Source organism: Homo sapiens, chromosome 12 (assembly GCF_000001405.40).
Source record: "Homo sapiens chromosome 12, GRCh38.p14 Primary Assembly".
Lineage (NCBI taxonomy): Eukaryota > Metazoa > Chordata > Mammalia > Primates > Hominidae > Homo > Homo sapiens.
Window position 1 is genome coordinate 18804989 of NC_000012.12, and position 23832 is coordinate 18828820.

A 23832-nucleotide genomic window follows, 5' to 3' on the forward strand; every position below is an offset into this window, starting at 1 on the left:
ACAAAGACTAAAGAGCTAAAAATTGGTCTAAAAATTTGGCATCCATTATTCATATCCAGTTAGTGTTCTGCTATTATTGTGCCCAGAAGAAAGTGATTAATGCATGGGAAGCACCAAGGTCAAATTTATTTTGGGTACAACATAATGTACCTCTATATTTCAGACTGCTGTCATGGCATGAATTCTTAATATCCTCATAACATTAACTTCATGTTCAATCACAATTTAGAAAGTATTAATGTTTCTACCATGTTAAGATATAGAAACAATTGGAGATATAGAACAAAAAAAAAGCTATCAACTAGTTATATTTCAAATAGTGTATTTTTTTGAAAGTGATTATACCATACATCAGTTTTTAAAATATTTCAGGTACATAATAGCTTTTTCCTGTCCCAGAAGCCCAGCCTATGGAAAAGAAAAAACACTGTCACTTCCACTTCTAATCTCACTCTATTTTCAAATAACCTTAGCATAACACAGCTTTAGCTCATTAACAATAGATATCCATCACTTTTCAAATTAGATATGCTTCTTTGAATTTAGCTGCAATGCGAATTTATACAGATTTAAGTCCGATATTTTTCAGTGACCTCCCAAATATAATAGAAAATGTGATATCATTGAAAAGTTCCTTCTGTAAACTCTGGTCACAAAGCATGTTAAAGATGCAGTGAGAACATGGCCACAAGAGGCTCCCTTGCCATGGAGCACTGCGTGTTTCCAAAGACCCTCACCTCTCGCTGCTCAGGGAGAAGCCCCTGGGCCTTATGCCCCTCAGGGTGAGAGCTGCAGGTCCTGACACTCACCAGTCCAGATAGGGCTGCAGGGAGGCCTGGGATAGAGACAGTTTCCCCAGTCAGAAAACTTAGCTTTGGTCCAGAGCCCACTCAAAACTCCCTCAATAGACTCAGGCAGGCTAATGATCAAGGGCATGATTCTTAAATCTAAAATCCTGAAATTCAAAAAGTTCTAAAGCTCCAAACTCTTTTGGCAGCGAAGCTGAAATGACCTGAGTCATTTGGCTGCAAAACCTGACCTGCATTCGCGTAAGGCTATTTACAGACATTTTTTATCTCACGTTAGGTGAACGTTATTGTTTTTCTGCCAAAATATGAATCTGTTTGATTACAGGGAGCCCCAGGCCTTGCTGGGACTGTTTATATAGTACGTGATATTTGCACTGTATTGTCTTCTAAATTCTGGTACCCAAAATATATGTGGCACCAAGGCATTTGGATAATAGGAAAATAATGTCTTATGAAATTATATGGAAATGAATTTAAATATTGCAATCTACTGCTACGTACTAATTATATGACTTTGGACAAATTATCTAATGTCCTTAACCTTGTTCTTATCTTTAAAAAGTGAAGAAATCAAATCACGCTCAAATGCTTTGATGGTATTTGCCTAACTCGGGAATCACTTTTCCAACACTATCTTTTCCTAAAAAATCACTTCCCCCTCCCTCCATCTGCCCTCACTAAATATCAGAACTCAGTGGCTTATGGCTAGATCCCCACATGCACGTGTTCCAAATGTTGCTCAAGTCCTTTTGTCTAGATATTTACAATGTCTAATAGAGCTAAACCACAACAGCATATTTATCTATGTATTACCACAATCTAGATGTGTGTTCCTCAAGACAAGAATCATGGTGTTTCGCACCTGCACATGTTGTTGGGGGGAAAAGACTATAGTCTCAGAATCTGAAATATGACTATCCCAGATAAAAAACAGATGGCAGAGAATAAGAAGGGAAGTTCATATCCACCAGAGGCTGGAGACCACCTCAGCCCAATTTCTAAATCCACTAGATTTACAAACTTTTCTCTACAGTGAGCTCAGTCTAAAACCACCCCACTCCCGCTGTCTTGATGTTAACCAGCAAGGGGCTCTGTGAAACTTACATAGGGGAAAGAACCCTATGCTACTGGGCAGAAGAGAAAAGGTAGTTCCCAGTTAGGAAATATCAAGAAGAGGTTGCCATAATTGTCCAAGAAAATGGTGAACACCCATAGAAGTTCAGTTTTCATCCAGGATAGCCAAACACTATGACCTTTTCTGGTTTTTGATATTTTAACCAGCTCTATGAGCTATGAAGACTCAGTTCATAGAAAGATGGACTCACAGAAAAATGTCCAATAAATTTTTCTCTGATACTAAATGTAACATGTTCAGTAGTGAAAGGCGTAGCATATAATATCTGAGTGTCTGGAGAGACCTGAGAAATTATCTAATATCATTTAACAAATAAAAAACTGAAGCTCAAAGAAGACTAGTAACTTGATTAAAACTGACAGAGCTGGTAAAAAAAGAGCCGGAAGGATTCAAATTCTTCTGTTCATTAAAAGAAAATAATAAATAAATGACAGGCTATGATTCCACTGAAAAATATTTGTATTAAAAATAAGTATCCTTGGACACAGAGTAGTGGTATTGTGTGGGCAATGGAGTTGGAGACCTAGCGTTAGAAGTGGTTCTTCCAGGAACTTAGGCAAAGCAAAAATCTAAGGCCATGCCAGTTGTGAGGTGTTCGGATGCCATAGTTCTTTCCCAGTAACATCAAAGTAATATAATCTCCAAAGATAAGAACCAAAGAAGACATCTGACATAAGAATCTGATCCAATGGCTTTAAACATTAAATTGAATATTAAATAGAAGAGATTTTAGCCTGATGCTAAGATTTGAATGTATGGTGTATTTAAACCTATGGCTGAGTATATTTTTAAATTATAAAAAAATGATATTTTCTCTGCTGGGAAATTATTAGGAATTCTAATTTTATGCATACTGCAAGTCTTCAACTATTTATGACTGTTCAAAAGAAACCATGCTGAGCTTCTCTGTCAATGACTTCTAATCAGAGAAGCCTTCTATAAGCTTAGCATAAATAGGTGATGAGAGCAATGAAAGGGCATCACCGTTTGTCGCAACACTTGACATTTAATATTACTGTCACAGATGCAGGCCTCCTGGGAGAGGAAAGGAGAAGTTATTAAGACGAGGGACTTAAGAATACTTTATAAAATCCTACCCTCTTGATTTTATTTGATTTTTTTTTTAATATTGAACTCACCCTGTTTGGAGAACCCCTCCTCCTTTTTTCTTGCTTATGTCAATTTCATTCTTTCAACTTTTCCCATTGGCTTGTGCTTCCTTCTGTTAAATTGACATGCCATGAATCTTTTAGATATCAATTCTCAGTAGAAATCGTCCAATGTTATTGAAAACTGTGTGCTTGCTTATTTGAACTTTATTATTTTTTCCCTCTACATACCATTTACTTCAAACCATGTAATAGACTTTAAAACATGTGTTCACATTATCTTTGGGGGAAGTGCTCTTACCCCATGGGACAGTATAACAGCAAGCTTTGCTCAAAGATTCTTATAAAACATTAGGGGGTGATTATGTGAATTACCAAGGACTTTGTAAAAGCTACACCCCTGGTGCATTTAAGTGTTTATTTACTGAACTCTCTTATGAGGAAAGTGGCTTAAGTAGCCACTGCCAAATGGCGGCCAATCATAAGAGAAAAGACATCTAGGACAATACAGAGTGATCAGCAGGAAAATGGCATTGCATTGCAGTTAGTATGCAACGCATCATTTAGGCAAAGCAGAATATTTCTAGAGATACCGTAGTCCAGTTCACCTTAAATAGGAAAAGTACTAACTATAGGTGTAAAATGATCCTGCTACTTCTGGTTAATTCAGTACCACATGAAGTATAGTTTAATTGTTGCCAAGAATCAGAAAAAGAGCCTTTAAAAAACCAATTGGACACTATAGTATATCTTATACATTAAACTTATAGTTCCTTTCCATACTGTTAATGATCCAACCCATCTTAAGCCCTATTGAGGCAACTGAAATAGACATTACTCTGTTAAGTGAGCAATGATTATGACTGCTTTTAATAATGTATTATTCATATCTTACAGAAACAAAGACTTCTTATATGCAGTGGATTTTTTAATCTCAAGGATGACAATATTTATCATAAAAAGTATGTTAAATAACACATGTATGACATGAATATGTTATATTCTGAATTTGAGGAAAAACTATCCCTATAAACAGGAATTTGCCCTTTCATGTTAATAATCATTTAGCTGGGTGAGCAGCTTAGACTAGCATGGGTGATTCAGAGGGGCATTGAGGAGATCATGCTGAGCTTGGAATTGCAGTTTATGAGAGAAAGCATGGTTCAAGAATGGACGATCCAGGCAGAGACCAATATCACATAACATTTCATGAATTTACTAAATGAGAACATATAAACAGCTCACTCACAAAGTTGAATATTAGTTTTGAACCCAGACACAATGCATACTTACTACTTTTTTTTTTTTTTTTTTTGAGACAGAGTCTCGCTCTGTCACCCAGGATGGAGTGCAGTGGCGCCATCTCGGCTCACTGCAAGCTCTGCCTCTTGGGTTCACACCATTCTCCTGCCTAGCCTCCTGAGTAGCTGGGACTACAGGTGCCCGCCACCACGCCCGGCTAATTTTTTGTGGTTTTTTTTTAGTAGCGACGGGGTTTCACTGTGTTGGCCAGGATGGTCTCAATCTCCTGACCTCGTGATCCACCTGCCTCGGCCTCCCAAAGTGCAGAGATTACAGGCGTGAGCCACTGCGCCCGGCCATACTTACTACATTTTAGAGAGTAGAATTATTGGCCGTGTGTGGAGGCTCACGCCTGTAATCCCAGCACTTTGGGAAGCTGAGGCGGGCGGATCACCTGAGGCTGGGAGTTCGAGACCAGCCTGACCAACATGGAGAAACCCCATCTCTATTAAAAATACAAAATTAGCCGGGTGTGGTGGTGCATGCCTGTAATCCCAGCTACTTGGGTGGCTGAGGCAGGAGACTTGCTTGAACCTGGGAGGCAGAGGTTGCAGTGAGCTGAGATTGTGCCATCGCTCTGCAGCCTGGGAAACAAGAGTGAAACTCTGTCTCAAAAAAAAAAAAAAGAAATTAGAATTATTTTTGGCACAAGAAAGAGAGAAAGATCAGACACGCTTGGACTGGTTCAAATTTGTATTTCTGCTTTACTGACTGGCTCTGTGGAGACGCGGTGGCTGCTCTCGGTCTTTCAACTGGTCCACGTAGCCTTTACATGGATACAGACTACTGATTCCATAAATAGAGAAATTTCCAGATGGTCCCACCTCAGGGGGAGTCATTTGACTCATGACTGGCACACAACACTGAAAATGCTGGAAAGATGGCAAATATTAGTAACTGATAATACTAGAGGAGTGAGTGGGAACATATAGGACCCAGCATTTACATTTATTTCAGGAATCAAAAACACCAGACTCTTTATGTCCCTGGTAGACTGTTTCCCTCCCCTAGAAAGCTAGTATAGCAGGGTATGAAGTAGCAAGAATTTGCATATGGAATTCATGATTAACATTAAAATGAGAAGAAATGTTCCATTTTGTGTTTCTGTTGGAGGGACTGCTGCAGTGGGCCAGCTATCAAGCAGCATTAGAATTGATTGGATCAGTCCCAGTGAATGTGATTTTTATCCATCAATTATTCAAAAATTCTGAGTTTCATCATCAAACTGAGAGGCCGCATAAATCTCAGACTTATGAAGCTCATCAGGTAGCAGGTGATGCTAGAGGCCTTTTGGGAACAGGACTAAATAATCAAGTTCAGACCTGAGTCACTAAGATGGGCTTGAGAAAAGATGATGAACTGAGAAAATTAGAGCAGTGAGAGGACCATATGGGGACATTTGGATAGATAAGACAGTGTTTTTGCAGCTGCCGTGAGTGCATAACATTTAGGCAACAGAGATGCATTAGTTATCCATTGTCATAGTAATGCTGCATAACAATTTACCCCAAAACTCATGGCTCAAAACAATAGGCATTTATTGAGCTTACACGTCTGTGGGTTATCAATTTAGACTGAGGTTGGCATGACAGTTCCAGCCTTAGCTGGGCGCACTCACGTGTCTGGCCATCAGCTGCGAATCAGCTGATCTTGGATAGCCTCCGTGGGAGCTGGAGCAATTCAGAACTGGGTCTCTTCTCCAGCAAGTCAGGCTTTTTCATAACAAAGAGAAGCAAGAGATATAGCAAAAACACAAATGTACTTTTTAAAGCCTCTATTGCGTCATATCTGCTAACATCTCGTTGTTCAAAGCAAGTCCCAGGGACAAACCAGAATTAAGAGAGGTAAAAATAGACTCGTTCTTGTTAGCAAGAGAAAATATAAAGTCAAAGGCAGAGGGTACTCTGTTAAATATCTACTGCTCCATTAAAAATTTACCCCAAAACTTAGTAACATAACACAACTGCCATTTAATTTGCTTACTATTCAGAGTTACTCTTCTGGAGGCTCAACCAACAACGTAGCTGAGATTAGATAATGTAAGATGTCCTGACACATGTGTCTGAGTTGGTGCTTGCTATCAGCTGGATCGTGTATCATCGACAGAGTAACCCAGGATTTCTCATGATGGCTGGTTTACAAAAGTGACAAGAGAGGGCATATTCTATTGCACAAGTGCTTTGTGGTCATGATTGCTAAAGTCCCATCAGCCAAAGCAAGTTGTGTGGTCAAAGAAAAATCACAGAACCAAGCCCAGGATCAGTTTAGGAGGGTGTGCATACAGAGAAATATGATTATTAGGGACTATTAATGTAACAAGCTACTACAGGTGTGGATGCAGGGAGCGGATCAATGTAATGACATCATCAATGTCATCAATCTACCATAAGAGAGATATTGAAGGAGAAATGTAAGGGGACTTTCAGAGCATCGGCACTAAATTTCCCTTGGAATTTTCAAGAATTGTAATAGAAAAGCTTTTTTTTGAAGGAGCTTTGGTGAGTTCTGCAGTATAACATGCTTTACTTTCCCCTCAGTGTATATATTTTCCATTAACAATAGTAAAGATTTGAAATGCTTCAAATTAATCCAATTAGAAATAAATCCCTAGCTACAGAAAATATTTCTTGAACTGCAATTCACACAGGACTGAGCTATGAGCACCTTGGCTTTATATAGGATACATAATGGTAACTTAGGCAATATATGCCAAAATTATCAGAAAGTGCAATAAATTTTGGTTTTGAAAAAATACGGTTGCAAAAATGTAAAAACTTCATATCTTCATGAGAAATAAAAGGGAAAATATAACTAAATACCTTTTAGGCAGGCTGCTAGATTCACAGTGAATCCCCCTCATCTGGGTAAACCCTCCCTAGGTAGAATGGGTTCTTTGAGGCCATATCTCTGAAACATGATTCTACCTCAATGACTATATTGACTGATTGAGGGAAGATGCCTGGCCTAAACTGAGTCAATCACCTTTTCTATCGTAAGAATTCAAAATTGGAGAGTGAGAAATTCAAAACAAGATTAGCAGTTATTGAAGAGGAATCAAATTAACAGCAACACTTATTCATCTGAAATCTCTAGAGTCAGTCTGCTTCCTGCCTTTCTAGATGTTCAACACATGTTTAGATTCCATGCCTTATGCCAGAATTCTTCCAATAAGCTTCCCTTTACAGTTTTTTTTTTTAACTTAAGCCAATTCGTTTTGTTTTCTATATGTAGTGGATGCTGTAGTGTGCCACTCAGAATACTTTCAGGACTGAGATACTCATTCCTCTAGTAGCCAGGAGCAAAACTACATGCCCTCCAAAAGTTACCCTTGGATGAATGGAGCTGCCTTGACCCTTCCCTAGGGGAAGCCCCTGAATGTCAGCATTTCTAGAAAAGACTCAATCAACTACTTGGCAGCAATTTGACTTCATTGGACCCCTTCAACTTTCAAAGAGGTGGTAGCCCTTCTTGACTAAGACCAAAACACATTCCAAATATGGACTGTCTTTCCTGCCCACCAGGTCTTGGCCGGTACCCGTCTACAAGAACTTAAATAGTATTTGACCCACTGACATAAGAATCCACCTTAACACTGCATTGGATGAAGAGACTCATTTTAGAGCAGAGTGGGTATAGCATTGAGCATATGACCATGGGAATAATTGTCCCCCATTACAAAGCACACCACCAGAAATGTTCAGGCTGAAAGTGCAATGGGACAGTCTTTGAAGGCATAGGTAAGACATCACCTTGAAGATGCCTGTGAGGATGAGGCACCATCATTGAGGACACAGCATGTGCCCTAAAGCAATGACTATTTCATGGTCATGAGTCCCCAGCTACTTAAAACACATGAACCCTAGAAGTAAAGTGTGGCAGTAGGAGTGGCCCTACTTACGTCACTCCCATGACCCACTTAGAGAATTTGTGTGTCTCATCCCTACAGATTTGGACTGTGCCAGTGTAGAAGTTCTGGTTCCAAGAGGATGAATGTTTTCACAGGGGAATACAGTAAATTATGCCTCTTACCGGTCACTTCAGGATCCATGTGCCAAGTAATCAGAACCAAGGAAAGGGTCACAGTGACAGGTGTAATTGATCCTGAACATCACAAAGAAGTAACTGCTCATGTCAGCAGGAGGAAGACATTTGGTTCTGGACTTTGACTTGGGACTCCCCTTGCCAAATGTTGATGGTAAATGGACAAAAGCAACAGCCACATCCTAAGAAAAGCGTGATGACCAGGAACTCAAATCTCTAAGAAAGAAGAGTCTAGGCTGTCCACAAGTAAGCCACCAGACCAGCAGAAGTACTAGCTGAGAGTTAAAACATCTAGAATGGATAACAGAGGAGGGAGAAGGTGAGTATTGATTGCAGCCCTGAGGCTAGCAGCAGCAGCAGTGGGGGTTGTGGTTTCTTCCAACTAAGTTTATCCTGTAAGTTTTCCCTGGAAATAACTTTAAAACACACACACACACACACAATCCTGGAGAATCTATTTCTAAACAGGAGAAATATACTTTGAGAGGCAAGTGGATCCAAGCAGCATAAGGGGTGGAGAGTAGAGGATGTAGTGGCGCACTGCTCAGATATCCCCTTTGGGACTGAGGCACTCATTTCCACCGCTGCCAAGAATGTTGACTACTGACACTTCAAAGCTTTATCTCTCTCTGGGAACTATCCTCAGTCAAGGGGAGACACCTAATGCAAGTTCATTCCCCCTTCCCTGGAGCAGGCCACATCCAATGGCTGCCCAATGCAGGGGTATAAAAGTCCAGACCCTTGCCTCATTTTGGAACAACTTTGAATGGCCATCCCAGACCACAGCTCCCTGAGGAATTGATTGCCTGTGGCCTTGTGGCAACTACATCACAGATCATCTTTTCCTTCTGCCTGTTCCTGCCTCCCTTCGTCCTTTCAGTGCTGTTCTGAGCCTTTTTCCAGGAACTCAACCTAAGGCACCCTAACCGCTGTCAAAATGAATATAGCAGCTTCTTTTGGAGGAATATGTTATAAAACATGAGGGGGTACAGAGAGAGATAGATGCTCACTAAGAATCCTGTGAGCTAGACACTGTAATTATCTATAGTTTACAGATGATACAGATGGAGACATGGAAGCTTAGAACTTAAGAGATTTCTCTAAAGTCACTGATCATGACCAGGTCTGTCTGACAGAAGAACTTGTACTGTTTACTACTACATTATTCATAAATAGTCCATTTTCCTTTGTATAGCTCTTTACTGGCCTGGAGATGAAAAAATAAAAGTAAACATTTTTGCTCTTTCCTCCCAGAAGCTCTCCATGAGCTGGGCCCATGCTAAAGCCAAGATAAGATACTGTCTCATAAGAGCAGCAACTTAATCCAGTCTCTAATGCCAAAGTTATGAGTTATGTATCAGGCCCTATGTGAAAACTCTATATAGGAAGTAGCAAAAAAATAAAATAATAAAATAAATTTAAAAAATAAAAATAAAAGAAGAAGAAGTATCTAAGTAACTCATTAGCTACATCCTAAATACTGGGCTAATGTCTATATATGTGTACTTCCAACACACACCTAAGAAACGGATGGACCATAGTGGCCAGGTAGAATGATGAGTCCTCTGATGCATTATATAAGATTGTCCTCTTTATTTACAATTTAATTTAATCTGACAGAAAGGAAATGTAGGAAGGAGGGGGAAAGGATGGGGAGGAGAGTAAGAGGAAGGAAGAAAGAGACTGAAACGTTAATACCATTTATGTATGGAGGTAGAATTTTAGGATTTTTGTGTACCTTTTCTAAATTTTCTACAATTAACAGTTATATAATCACAATTATAAATTAGGTATAAAAGCATATGATTTATGATACTGTTCAAAAGGATAGAGGAAATGCTATTTGGAATGTGTATAAAGAAACAAGGCTAGATGGTATTTTGACGTCCAGGGTACCCTACAATGGAGTATTCAGACACCATTTTGATATTGTCTCTTCCTAAGCAGAGAAAGAACACATTATGGAAGACTAGTTATCATTTCCCATCCAATTCAGTCTGCTTTGCTTTCGTGAACTGTAGGTCAAATTGTGTATGGATGAATTGGCAGAACTTTATATATTCATGAACACAGATTGAAAGTCAGAAGAATGGTGAACTCTTCCTCTTATCAGAAATAGTAAATGTGCTCAAAATTTTCAACGAAGATAAAAATTAATAACCAAGTTAATCCTGTTATTCTCTAAGAAGACAAGATTGGAAAGTCACTTTGTATGAAAGTCTTTATAAAGACTTTACAAAGAAAAAATAATCATTAGTTGCAATTCCCTTACCATTTTCACTATAATCCCTCTACCAAGTATATTTTACCAAATTCCATGCTCAAAAGGCACATCTATTTGTGGTATTTTATTTTTCCAGCCTGATATTAGAGTAACCTTTTTAAATGAACTGACTGCTTAATTGCATTATCATGGGATCTGGTAAGTCACAGCCACAGGAAGATAATCTCTGTAAGGAAACAGAGAAACAAAAATTTTTTTTTATTTTTATATCATCTACAATTTATGCCTCCACAATGTACCCTATAATAAAGTTTTTCATGTAATTCAGAAAAAGAATATTGAAAACAAGCTCCAGCCTGTCAAATAAAATTCTAAGTAACAAGCTTGTCTGCCGCTATTCTATTAAAATGTTCTACACTTTGAGATGTCCTTATCTCTGAAGGGCAAATGAACCCAGCAGGTGACTGAGTGATTATGACTTCTGATTCAGAGCTCATTTTTTAAAACATGAGCTGTTTAATGCTTGCTGATTGCCATCACTAACATTCCCTTGTTTTCAATACAGTCTTCTCATTCACCGACTGAAGCCTGCCCTGCATCCAGAGAGCCCACTTAAAGAGACTCTGCAGCTAAGTTTCAATTCCCGGGATGGCAAAAAGACTTACTATAAAATTAATTTTCAAAGACATATTTAGAATCCTCTATTTTCCTATTCCAGATGTAAATTTTAAGAGATGGTTTGAAGAAAAGGATCCTTAATAACGCAGTGAAATGAAAGGAAGTTACTGCCAACAAGAGACTGTAGTTCATGTAAAATATGTCCCACATGGGTGTCCAGGGGAAAAGCTATAGCAGTACAAGCAGTTATTCTCCTCCTCTGAAAAGTTATAAAAACAAAGCCAAACAAAATAACAACAGCAAAACAGTCCACAAACAAATCAATGTCTCAGCACTGTCTTCTTTATTAAAACTTCTGGGATATTCCTGAAATTCTGAATATACTGTCTTGTGGTTATAAAATGGCATCCTGGATTTTATGGGTTTATAGCCTAAATGCAAAAGATAGAAACAATAATGTATTATGGTACAGAGTCTCCTACAGTTTTCAAGTATCATGTACATCCTCCGACCTTTATCTGACTAAAGCAACAGCTCTTTGACAAGAGAAGATGTGACTATCCCACATTCTAATGTCTTGGAGGATGTGAGGGCTAGCCCATCTTTGAAAAGTTATTTTTATAGTAACTAGAAGATGCAGAAACCTCCAATAAGGCTACAAGGTTGTCTCTCATCCACTGCATCCTCAAGTGCTTTATCACTTGTCATTTTGAAAATGATCATTAATCACAGCACTTTGCACACAAGCCAACTTGTAACCTATGGGCTTTTTACAAACATAACAAGCTACATCCATAAAATGCAGCTGTTGTGAAGAGAAATGAGACTGTTCATCATAGTATGAGTTAGCAGTCTAAAACAGGAAGATAAAGATGACTATTACACCCAGTTGAAAATGCTGGCGTTGTTTTCTTCTTCCTAAACTCTATTCGATATCTCAAGTGTAAGTATCAGGTATACAGCAAATAAACATACAGGGGCCAATATTAAAAATCATGAAGAGATGGATATCAAAAATACAACTGGTATATATAAATTAGCATGTATATTATACCAAAAGGCTAAGTTTGTACCTATGCCCATACAAACCAACCTAATCAGTGCTTTTTTAATTTTAGTTGTCAGTTACAGAAAACAACTCATTGCAACAAATATTGGTTGGATCCTTCTGGACAAACACTCATCTCACCTCACACCAACCTGCAAGTTGGACTTAGTACTTTGAAATATCACAGACATCCAAACATAGATCACATAGATCCAGCTATTCAATGTATGATCCACACACAAAAAGATGTGTTATTGAAGTTTTTGTGAGAAGACTGCAAAGAGGATTTATATTTCTTACAGTGTAGCTAAACTTCCATTGTCTTTCAAAATATTCTCTCTCGATACAGTCTCTCTTTCTCTCTCCAAGTCCAGCTCTTCCAGTCCCTCCAGTTAAGCTCTGGGACTTAGACCCGAGCTTCCTTTCTTACACGAAAGGAATTGAGATGTGTAGCTCCCCAGCCTGTATGCTTCACCGATGGGACTAGGTAGCCACCTCCTTGGAAGGCAGAGAAAACTGAAGGATCAAGTATTTTATTGCTGGACAAAGTGGCTCCCCCCTGTAATTCTAGCACTTTGGGAGCTTGAGGCGGGTGGATTGCTTAAGTCCAGGAGTTTGAGACCAGCCTGGGCAACATGGCAAAACTCCATCTCTACAAAAATTAACTGGGTGTGAGGGCACATGCCAGTAGTCCCAGCTACCCTGGAGGTTGAGGCAGGAGGATCACTTGAGCCCGGGAGGCAGAGGTTGCAGTGAGCCAATAGTGTGCCACTGCACTCCAGCCTGGACAATAGAGCAAGACCACTTCTCAAAAAATATTTTTTCTTTCATAGTTTTAAGGACATACAAGTATCTCAAGAGCAGGAATGCTAAGTTAGCCTTAAAAATGAACTGGATCCAAAAATAGGAATGACACCAGAAATACTAGGAAACTTCTTCAGTCTTGTCTTAGCTTCTCTCTTTTCATTTACTCTTTTCTTCTGTCTAGGTTTTCCTCTCTTCTCCTAATCTTTCTTGTTCTATAAAGAGTGAAGACTTCCAAAGAGAGAAGTCTTTGTTATAGAGACCAGGGGTTTTCAAGTCTATTATACATCAATATGTTTTACTAACATAGATTCCTGAGCCTCACTCACAAAGATTATTGTGATTTCATAAGTCTGTTAGGGCTTGAAAATCTGTACTTTTGAAAGCTCCTCAATTGGCTTAGGGTAAAGATTAATCTCCTGCAACAAAGAGCTCCTCTCAAAAAAAAAAAAAAAAGTACACACACACACACACACACACACACACACACACACACACACAATAAGAAATGTATTTCTTTTCTCACTTAACTGTCCTAACACCAGGATCCAGATTGGCAGGATAGCTGGGCTCTGCCTAATCATTAAAGATCCCAATTTCCTTCCATCTTATTCATCCAAGGGGCCCACTTACAATCAAAAAGCGCTTATAAACGTAATGTCCCTTGTTTGGTCAAAGTGCAGCCACTGTCACATTCACTTTACAACTCTCGGAAGAGAAAGATTAAAGGTTCAAGCTCAGCAGTTTTATATATCAGCAAGTAGGGCAGAAGTTGCCCACACCACTTCCACCCTGATTCTCATGAAAACAACTTAATCATTTGTTTGGGAAACATAGTCTGTATCTGGACTGCAATGTGCCCAGGAAGAAGTGAAAAACAGATTTGAGGAGACTCGCACACCCCCACCATAAGAGCATCTGACACATAGGCAGGCTTGGGAACTACTGTATAGAGATAAATGATGACGACCTTTCCACCTCTATCCTTCACTTCTCACAATATCAGCTGTCATGTAGGGGAGAGAGCCCTCTACCTGGTGTCAGAGCACCCACATACAAGCCCTAGTACTGCCACCTAACTAATTGTGTGATCTCAAACAGATCATTTAATAAAAATACTTTGTGCTAGGCTAAATACTGAGTGCATATATCATTTCTTTTAACCTTTATAACGTAAGGCAAATATTTTTCACTCTGTTTTAAAAAACGAAGCATCTCTTCCCACCTCACACTATTACATATGATCAAAACTAGATTTCGAACACTAAAGTGCCCAAAGTACATCATTTTTCCCTTCTGCCATATTTAACCTGAGTCTCCTTTTCTCATAAGTGGCAGAAAATATCTACCTCGATGAGTTATTGTGAGGTTTAAATGAGCTAACTTAAAAGTACTAAATAGACCTTAAATCCCAACATAAATAAAGACATTATTTTCTTTTGTAGACACAAAAGTTCAAACTAATTTGCCATGCTGGGCCTGTGTTTTGAGTTCCACTCTGGCAATGATGATGAATTTGTGCTTATTCACTCACAATCTCTGGTTCTGTCTTCCGTGATCAATGGCATCCATAGCAAGATGACAGTTCAGAGTTAACCTGTGGTCACAGAACTAAACAAAGCCGACTGGCCCGTATGGGAATTGAATTAATGATCCAGAACTGATAAGCACTTACTCAGATGAGCTGAAACAACTAGACGTCGAATGTCATCATGAAGACACGGACTAAAGATGATAAGATTCGGGGAAGAGCAATCTCTCTTTGTTCCTCTTGTAAGTCCATTCATTAAAGGCTTGCCAATAAAACTGGCTGTCTTGCCAGCAAATGGCCTGTTATCATAAACCAAGGTGAATTTCAGCTCATTTCTCTATTTCATATTCCAATCATATTATGAACGAACTTACCTTTTCTTTTATGAAGGTTGAAAATTCCAGCCTATACATCATAAGTTGCAGAAAAGCAAACAATAAAATGAGACACCAAACAAGGTAAACACATAATTCCCTCCCATCTCATTCCTACCTGACCCTCCTCCCACATAGGCAGAAACATTTGAGGAAAGAGTAAAATAAATATAAATTGAAATGCACGTTATTACCACCCGTGGTTTCTAGAAGGCTTTTAAGTATGAATATATATGGTGGTGGGTATTACATTTTTTATTAAACAGAATTATTATCTTTTAAAATTAAGACAAAAAGTCTCATCGAAAGGGTCCTAAAATCTCTGGCAATTTCCATAATAACCAGCACCACTCAAATCTAGATCCTCCAGAACTGTTCCTCCACAAGCATCCAGGGATTGGGCTCAAGATTTTCCTGATTTTCAGCTCTATATTATTTACCTGCTCATAAAAAAAAATACTGTACCCCTTCTGTGAAGGAAAACATCCTGTCTTGTTCAGGATAGAGTAATTTCACTTACCAAACTAAAAAATCTCACTCTCCATCTCCTACCCTCGCCCCTGAACAGTGTGTTTTGCCAACAAGCCACTCTTATGTATCTACCATAGGAAGGGAAATGGAGAGAAAACTAATTTCCCCTTACTATAAAGAATCTCAATTGTCTAAGAAAGTGAACCTTTCTTCCCAAAATGAGTCTAACACACACACACACACACACACACACACACACACACATATATACACACACATATACATATATATATATAAAGTATCATTATTTCTCCTGAAAGATCTCTTATTTCAGATGACCTCAAATTGAGAAAACTAAAAAAAAATTGATTTTAAAAAACGTTTTGGCATTTGGAGAATCTAAAATTTCAAATTTAACAAAAAAGTAAATTGCCTTCTCACTTCATCTGGATGAGAATCCTCTGCAGCAGACTGAGTATGAGAAATAAAAAGCTTTCCCTTTTTTACTGGTTATAAACAGAGGAGATCCAGGAGTTGGACTATATCTCCATTTTGATAGATTCTATTATAGTGCTTTAAACAATAGGATTTTTTGCTCAACCACATGTAGGGATATATGCCATATAGTATCTATTGCACTAGCTACTTGCCAACTCATTTCTAAATTCTATTCTAAATATAGAGACTAAACTGTGAAGCTAGGTGGGTCCAAAAAAATTTCAGCTTATGAAATAAAGCATGGGGCAACAATTATGTTCCCTGAAGCAGCAGCTACTAAATATCCTTCTAAGTCTATTCAGTGGCTAAGCTGAGAAACTGATGATTAAGGGCACCAAGGTTATGCTGTCTTGCTAGAAAGGGATAATCGGTGACTCTGTGTTGCAATGGGTCCAGTAGATCCAAGGAACCTAGAAATGCAGATTTTTTAATGATAATTACTAAAACATTAGAAAAATATTTAGAAATGTACTAATGCCTTCAACTAACGTAAGATCTTTTTTCTAAGCTAAGAAAAAATCTAAATAACCCAAGTAACTTAACAAAGATTGGGTTCTTTTACAAGTAATTATAAAACAGAAAGATTAAAACGAGCTCTTTGGTCATTCCTGGAAGGTTTAGCAACAAGAAATGTGGGTAAAACACACAATTTGAAACTGTACAGAGCTGGTTTCCACTACTTACTAGCTGTGTGACCTTGACTAGTCCTAAATTCTAAATTTTAGTTTGCTCTCGTGTAAAATGCAGATAATGATACACAGTAAATATCCCTTATCAGAAATGCTTGGGATCAAAAGTGCTTCCGATTTCAGATTTTTTTCAGATTTGGAAATATTTGTGCTTCAGATTTCAGAATTTTCCATATTTTGAAATATTTGCATATACATAATGAGATATTTTGGGGATGGGACGTAAGTCCAAACACAAAATTCATTTATATTTTATTCACTCCACATACACATAAACATGAAGGTAATTTTACACACTATTTTTAATAATTTTGAGCACAAAACAAAGTTTGTGACATTGAACCATCAGAAAGCAAAGGCGTCATCATCTCAGCCACCCATGGGGACAGTCTGTGGTTGTTTAGCACCACCATCATTCCTCACTCTGAATTTACACACTACCAATAGGCAATCATTTTCTTACACTTATTCACACATAATGGTAAATACACCATTGGTATGATGAAAAAGCAATGTCTTCAGGGTAAGTGAGCATTCCAGCAGCATCACCAGAATACCTATATCAGTTGTCAAACAACAGCAACAGCAAACAACAGGCCTTCAGTCTCCACCTCCAATGCTATGTTTTGATTAAAAGGTAACTGTACACCACATTTTATTTTTTTAGATGAGAAGACACATCAGAAGCAGATGAGCAACCAGGAACTGAGTTTTCTAGGGTTGAGGAGACATTCTGCCGAATGGCTTTTAGAAAATCTTTCCCCCAGAGTCATCTGCCTTATTAACAAAATTTTTTCATCTCAGGAGCCTCCCTTGGATTTTATAAACTGACGCAATTTCCTGTTCTGTTACAAATGCACACTGTGCTAGTCCTTCAATAAGCCCATCACATATTTTCATCATGCTGCCTATAGACAATTTTTCTGCAATATTAACAACGTCCTCCTCATATCATGGTCACCTTGATTCAGAACTATTTGAGCTATTTCACCATCAGTCAATACATAAACAACTGGAGCCTCACTACTGACGTTGAAACTTCTTCAATGTACACTTCTGCCACTTACTGACAAAAACTCTGAACGTATATTTATTGCATACGTAAAGAAGTCAGACATCTGTTTTTCCTCACTTGACATACAAAATCCTCCAAAGTCACCACCTTGTTCATTGTCATGACTGAACGTAGTTGCAGGACAGAGGTTGTGCCGGGCATGCACAGCTGGGTCTTTTATCATGTGTTCCAAGCGTTGGTAGCAGTATATATGACATCCTTCGTGCTAAAGTGCTTTTGAAAACCTTCCAAACCCACATCTCTGTTCATTCCTGCTAACATGCTGTTCAAGTAAGTGTTTTATATTTACTCTTCATTGATCTAAGGATAGCCTGATCACATGGATGAATTAATGAAGCCTCATTTGGTGGAAAATACATGGCATAAATATTATTTTATTATTACTATTACTGTTGATGAGGTCTCACTACATTGCCCAACAGGTCTCGAACTCTTGGCCTCAAGTGATCCTCCTGCCTCAGCCTCCCAAATTGCTGGAATTACAGGAGTAAGCCACCATACTTTGCCATTTTTTGTCATAAACATTATTTTTTATGAGAATTTCAGCTGGAAATAAGCAGAACACTTGTCAAATAATAACAAAATCTTACAGTTGTCATCCAGTCCAGCTTCCCTGCAGTGACCATGAGCTACTGGTACAAAATGTTTGTAAAAACAATCAGAAGAGATACCCCGGTTATCCATGCCTGTTTGTTAGCATAATCATGGACTGGTGAGCAATTCAATCCTGAAAATCAGTGAGGATGCACATTTTTGCCTATCATGACAAGTTTACATTTATGCATGCCTTCTACATTGGCACATCGCAGCACAGTTATTCTGTCCTTGGCATTCTTAATTGCTGTAGGCACTGTCTCATCAGTTGGAGTCTGTGTCTTTCTGGGGCAATAACACCAAAACAGTGACATTTCATCTGCATTACAAACTCATTCTGATGTAAGATTTTCATCAGTGATGACCTTGGTAAATTTGTCAATGAACTTCCCCACTGCTTCATGATCAGCAGATGCAATGTCATCATAAATCTTCAAAAATTTAATGCCATGTCTTCTCAAATTTTTGCAACCAGCCTATTGAATAGTCACAGTTCCCTTCAATTTTCAGCTTATTGTGATAGATCTTTGCTTGTTTCATGAGCATGCAAACATGTGGCATGTGCTCACTGTGATGCTGATGGATCCACTCCTTCAATACATAATCAAGATCTTCATTTTAGCTTTATGCAGTGTTTTTTTAAAATTTTTCATTAAATTCTGTTTATCACTTTCAGCATAGAATTTCAACAGTTTTCCTTCTTTTTCTTCAGATCATATAGAGTGGTCATTCCCACACCATAATCTTCTATAACACATTTCCTGGCTGGATGCAGTGGCTCACGCCTGTAATCCCAGCACTTTGGAAGGCCTAGGCAGGTGGATCACCTGTGGTCAGGAGTTCGAGACTAGCCTGGCCAACATGGTGAAACCCCATCTCTACTAAAAAAAAGTACAAAATTTAGCCAGGCATGGTGCCGCATGCCTGTAATCCCAGCTACTCAGCAAGCTGAGGCAGGATAATGTTTGATCCCAGGAGCAGAGGATGCAGTGAGCCGAGCTCGCACCATTGCACTCCAGCCTGGGCGACAGAGCGAGGCTCCATCTCAAAAAAAAAAAAAAAAGCATTTCCCACTTATACCACTGTTCATTTTCTCCAACAGCTCAACTTTCTGTGCTATAGATAAACATAAATGCTTCCTCTTTTTCTTATCGCCGTTACACATACGGGTATCTGCAGGCTTTTTTGACGTTTTCAACAATGTCTTCACACCACAGAGCAGAAAATAATCAAAAGAACACAGCGGGTAATATGCATAGGTCTTAACTCTGTGTGGGGCATTGTGAAGAAATTGCCATTGGCACATTTGGCCTGCACACGAGCCATTTTATTATTCTTCAAGAGCATGCTTGCGTAGGCAAATCTGGGTGTGTGTGGAAATGATGTATTACAGCTGAAGGAAATTGGGAGGCTCTTTTCCCCTTGGGGACAACAAATAAACTGTGTGTTGTGCACCTGAGTTTTGACTACAACCCATTACATGAGGGCAGGTATGAAATTTTCTATTTATGGTATCATGCTGATGCTCAAAAACTTCTGGATTTTAGAGCATTTTGGATTTCAAATTTTTGGATGAAGGATGCTCAACCCATACCTAAATTTCCGAAGATTTGCAATGTTAAATAAAAAGTGCAATGTGAGCCTGTAGATTCAGCTACTCAGGAGGCTGAGGCGGAAGGATTGCTTGAGCCCCACGAGGTCAAGCCTGTCATGGGCAACACAACAAGACTCTGCCTTTAAAAAAAAAAAGTACCTTGCCCAAAATGGATATTAATTTAGTAATAGCTATCATTTTTACTAGAGCTAAGATGGCAATGGTGTTGATAAAAATTTTAAGTCCTAAATAAAACTCTCAGAAAATAATACCTTCACTATTTACTGTAAAATATAAGCACTCCGACAATCCTGGGGCTAGTGGATGGTGTTTGTCAGCAGAAAAAGTAAAAAAGACTTTGGCACCTTCCAAATGTAATCTTACCATCTGAGTGACTAATTGTGAAGAAGCCAGGTAACATAAAGCCGTCCTGTAGGCCAGGGTTTCACAGCCTTGTCACCATTGACAGTTGGACCAAATGATTCCTTGATGTGGGGGTGCTGCCCTATGCAATGTAGGGTAATCAGCAGCATCCCTGGCCTCTACTCCCTAAATGACCTTCTCATTTATGTCAACCAAAAATGTGTGCAGGCATTGCCAAACATCCCTTGGAGGGCAAAATCACCCTGGCTGAGAACCGGTCTTGTTAAAGGGGAATGGCATGTGTATGCTCTGTTTGATGCTGTTCTGAGCCCTCTGACAGTAACTTACAGCTGGAGTCATCATTTTATGTGGCCTAACATTCAACCAGGTAAATAAGATGATTAAAGATAAGTCAACTAATCAGTTTAGATGTTTACTTGAGAATTAAATGACTTGTATTTAAAGACATTGGTTTTAGCATTATAAAGAAATGGTTCTGAATCCAAGCTCTCATAATGTTCTATCTATATAACCAGGGACAAGTTACTTATGTGGGTCTCAGTAAAATGAAAATAATAATGCTTATATGATACCAACAATAGTAATAGTACTGACCATATTTATGTTGCTGGGACCCAGTTCTCTTGTAGATAATATTCACAAAGCTTAACTGCTGGCTAAAATGAACACCTTATAGCTTGAGATGATAGTGACGATAAATTTTTTAACCAGTTTATGATTAACATATGATGTGCCATAGATATTTAACATATACAATTGGATGTACATGGCAATAAGTTCACACCTGTGAAACCATCAAACTCTCAAAACTATCAGCGTAGTAAATTTATCTATCACCTCCAAAAGAATCTTCTCACCCCTATAATGTTTCTTTTCCTTTTGTGGTAACAGCACTTAACATAAGATCTATCCTCTCAGGAAATATTAAGGATACAATACAATACTGGTAATAATAGGCCCTACATTGCACAGTAGATTTTCAGAACTTATTCATTTTGCATAACTGAAACTTTCTACCCTTTGACCAACATCTCTCCATTTTCCCTTCCCCCTGCCCCTGCTACTCTCTGCTTCTATGTGTTTGACTATTTTACAATCCACATGTAAGTGAGATTACACAGTGTTTGTCTTTCTGTGTCATGTTTATCTCATTTTGCATCATTTCCTCCAGGTCTATTTTTGTTGTTGCAAATGGCAGGATTTCTTTCCTTTTAAAAAAATGAATGATATTCCATTGAGTGTATATACCACATTTTCTTTATCCATTCTTCTGTTTATGGATATTTATGTTGTTTCCATATCATGGCTAATGCAAATAGTGCTGCAATAAGCATGGGGTTGTTTCAAAATTCTTTTCAAGATCCAGATGTCAATTCCTTTGGCTATATATCCAGAAGTGAGATGGCTAGCTCCAGTGGTAATTTTTTTTAATTTTTTGAGAAACAGCCTTCTTGTTTTCCATAGAGGCTGTACCAATTTACATTCCCGCCAACAGTGTACAAGGGTTTTTTTTCTTTTCCACCACATCCACTCCAACACTTGTCCTTTCTAACAGGTATGACATGATATCAGCCATTCTAACAGGTGTGACATGATATCTCATCTCTGATGATTAGTGATGTTGAGCACTTTTTCATATAAATCTTGGCCATTTCTATGTCTTCTTTAAAAGAATGTCTATTCATATCCTTAGCCCATTTTAGAAACTGGATTATTTATTTGTTTTGTTGTTGAGTTGTAGAAGTTCTTTATAATTTGGGGTATTAACACCTTATCAGGTATATGGTCTGTAAATATTTTCTCTTACTTCATTAGTTGCCTTTTCGGTACAGAAGTTTTCAGTTTGATGTAATTCCACTTGTCTGTTTTTTATTTTGTTGTCTATGTTTTTGGTATAATAATCAAGAAATCATTCCCCAGTTCAATGTTTAGAAACATTTTCCCTGTTTCTTCTAAGAGTTTTTATTGCTTCCAGTTTTACAATTAAGTCTTGAATCCACTTTGAGTTGGTTTTTGTATGTTATTTACAAAATTTATTTTAACTTCCTAAGTCTTTTCTAATAATACTTAGCTTAAAACACAAATATATTGTATAGTTGTACAAAAATATTGTATTTCTTTATGTCCTTATTCTATAAGCTTTCTTCTATTTCTAAAAGCTTTTTTTAATTTTTAAACTTTTTTGCTAAAAACTAAAAGATAAACATAAATCAACCTAGGCCTGCACAGGGTCAGGATCATCAATATCAGTCTCCCACCTCCATATCTTGTCCCACTGGCAGGTCTTCAGGGGCAATAACACATGTGGAGCTGTCATCTCCTATGACAACAATGCCTTCTTCTGAAACACCTCCTGAAGGATCTGCCTGAGGCTGTTTTACAGATAACTTTTCTAATAAGTAAAAGGATTACACTCTAAAATAACAATTAAAAGCATACTATAGTAAATATATAAATCAGTAACAGTTATTTATTATCATTATCAAGCATTATGTACTCTACAAAATTGTATGTGCTCTATTTTTATACAACTGACAGCACAGTAGGTGTCTTTACATCAGCATCACCACAAACACATGAATAGTGTATTGCACTATGACATTGTGATGGCTACAACATCACTAGGCAGTAGCGACTTTTCAGCTCCATTACATTATAATCTTATGGGACCACTGTCATATAAACAATTCATCACTGACTAAAACATCAATATGCAACATGTGCTTGCATATTACATGGTAATTAAACGTATACATTTCAGTTGAGTAATAGCTACAACTGGAATTATTGTGTCATGAGATGTAATTGTGTTCAACTTAGACACTCCTAGTTTTGCAAAGTGGTTGTACCAGTCTACATTCCCACTAGCAACATTTGAGAAATCTGGTTGCTCCATATTCTCACTGAGACTTGGTATTGTAAATCTTTTTTAGCCATTTCTTGGTGTGATGTGACATCATAATGTGGTTTTAAGTGCATATTCCTAATAACTAATGAGGTTGAGCATCTTATCTGTTTGTGGGCATTTTTGATACCTACTTTTTGAAGTCTTATTAAAATATTTTGCCCATTTTTCTACTAAGTGTTTTGTCTTTTTCTTACTACTCTATTGTTTTCATATATTGTAGATAGCAGTCCTTTAATAGGACTGCAAATACCTTCTCTACTCTGTACCTTGCCTTTTCATTCACTAAATGGCATCTTTTAGGGAACAGAATGTTTTGATGTTAGTATAGTTCAATTTATCAGTTTTTCCCTTTTGGATTAATGCTTTACTCCAGGTGCACTGGACTCCTTGCTGCTCCTCATCATACCAGGCATTTCCTACTTCTTTACTGCCTACTTGCATACATATACTTATATGACTCATTCCCTTCAAGTCTCTCTGTTCAAATGTGCCCTTTTCAAAGGGCTCTTTCCTGGCATATCTATATAAAACAAGAACCCTTACCTACCCTGCCCCACCCCTAGTATTTCCTACTCCCTATCTCTGCTTTACTTTATTCTTATCACCCATAACTACCTGATGTAC

At 38.1% G+C, this 23832-nt stretch overlaps 1 long non-coding RNA gene across 1 annotated transcript in view; it reads left to right on the plus strand.

Moving 5' to 3' along the window:
• Positions 1 to 12343, plus strand: part of LOC102724227 (uncharacterized) — a 64172-nt gene extending 51829 nt beyond the window's left edge. Inside the window, exons 5-6 of the long non-coding RNA XR_001749032.2 lie at positions 8302 to 8715; positions 11186 to 12343. This is a non-coding gene — a long non-coding RNA (uncharacterized LOC102724227). The remainder of the gene's footprint in view (positions 1 to 8301; positions 8716 to 11185) is intronic.
• The last annotated feature ends 11489 nt before the right edge of the window (positions 12344 to 23832 follow it).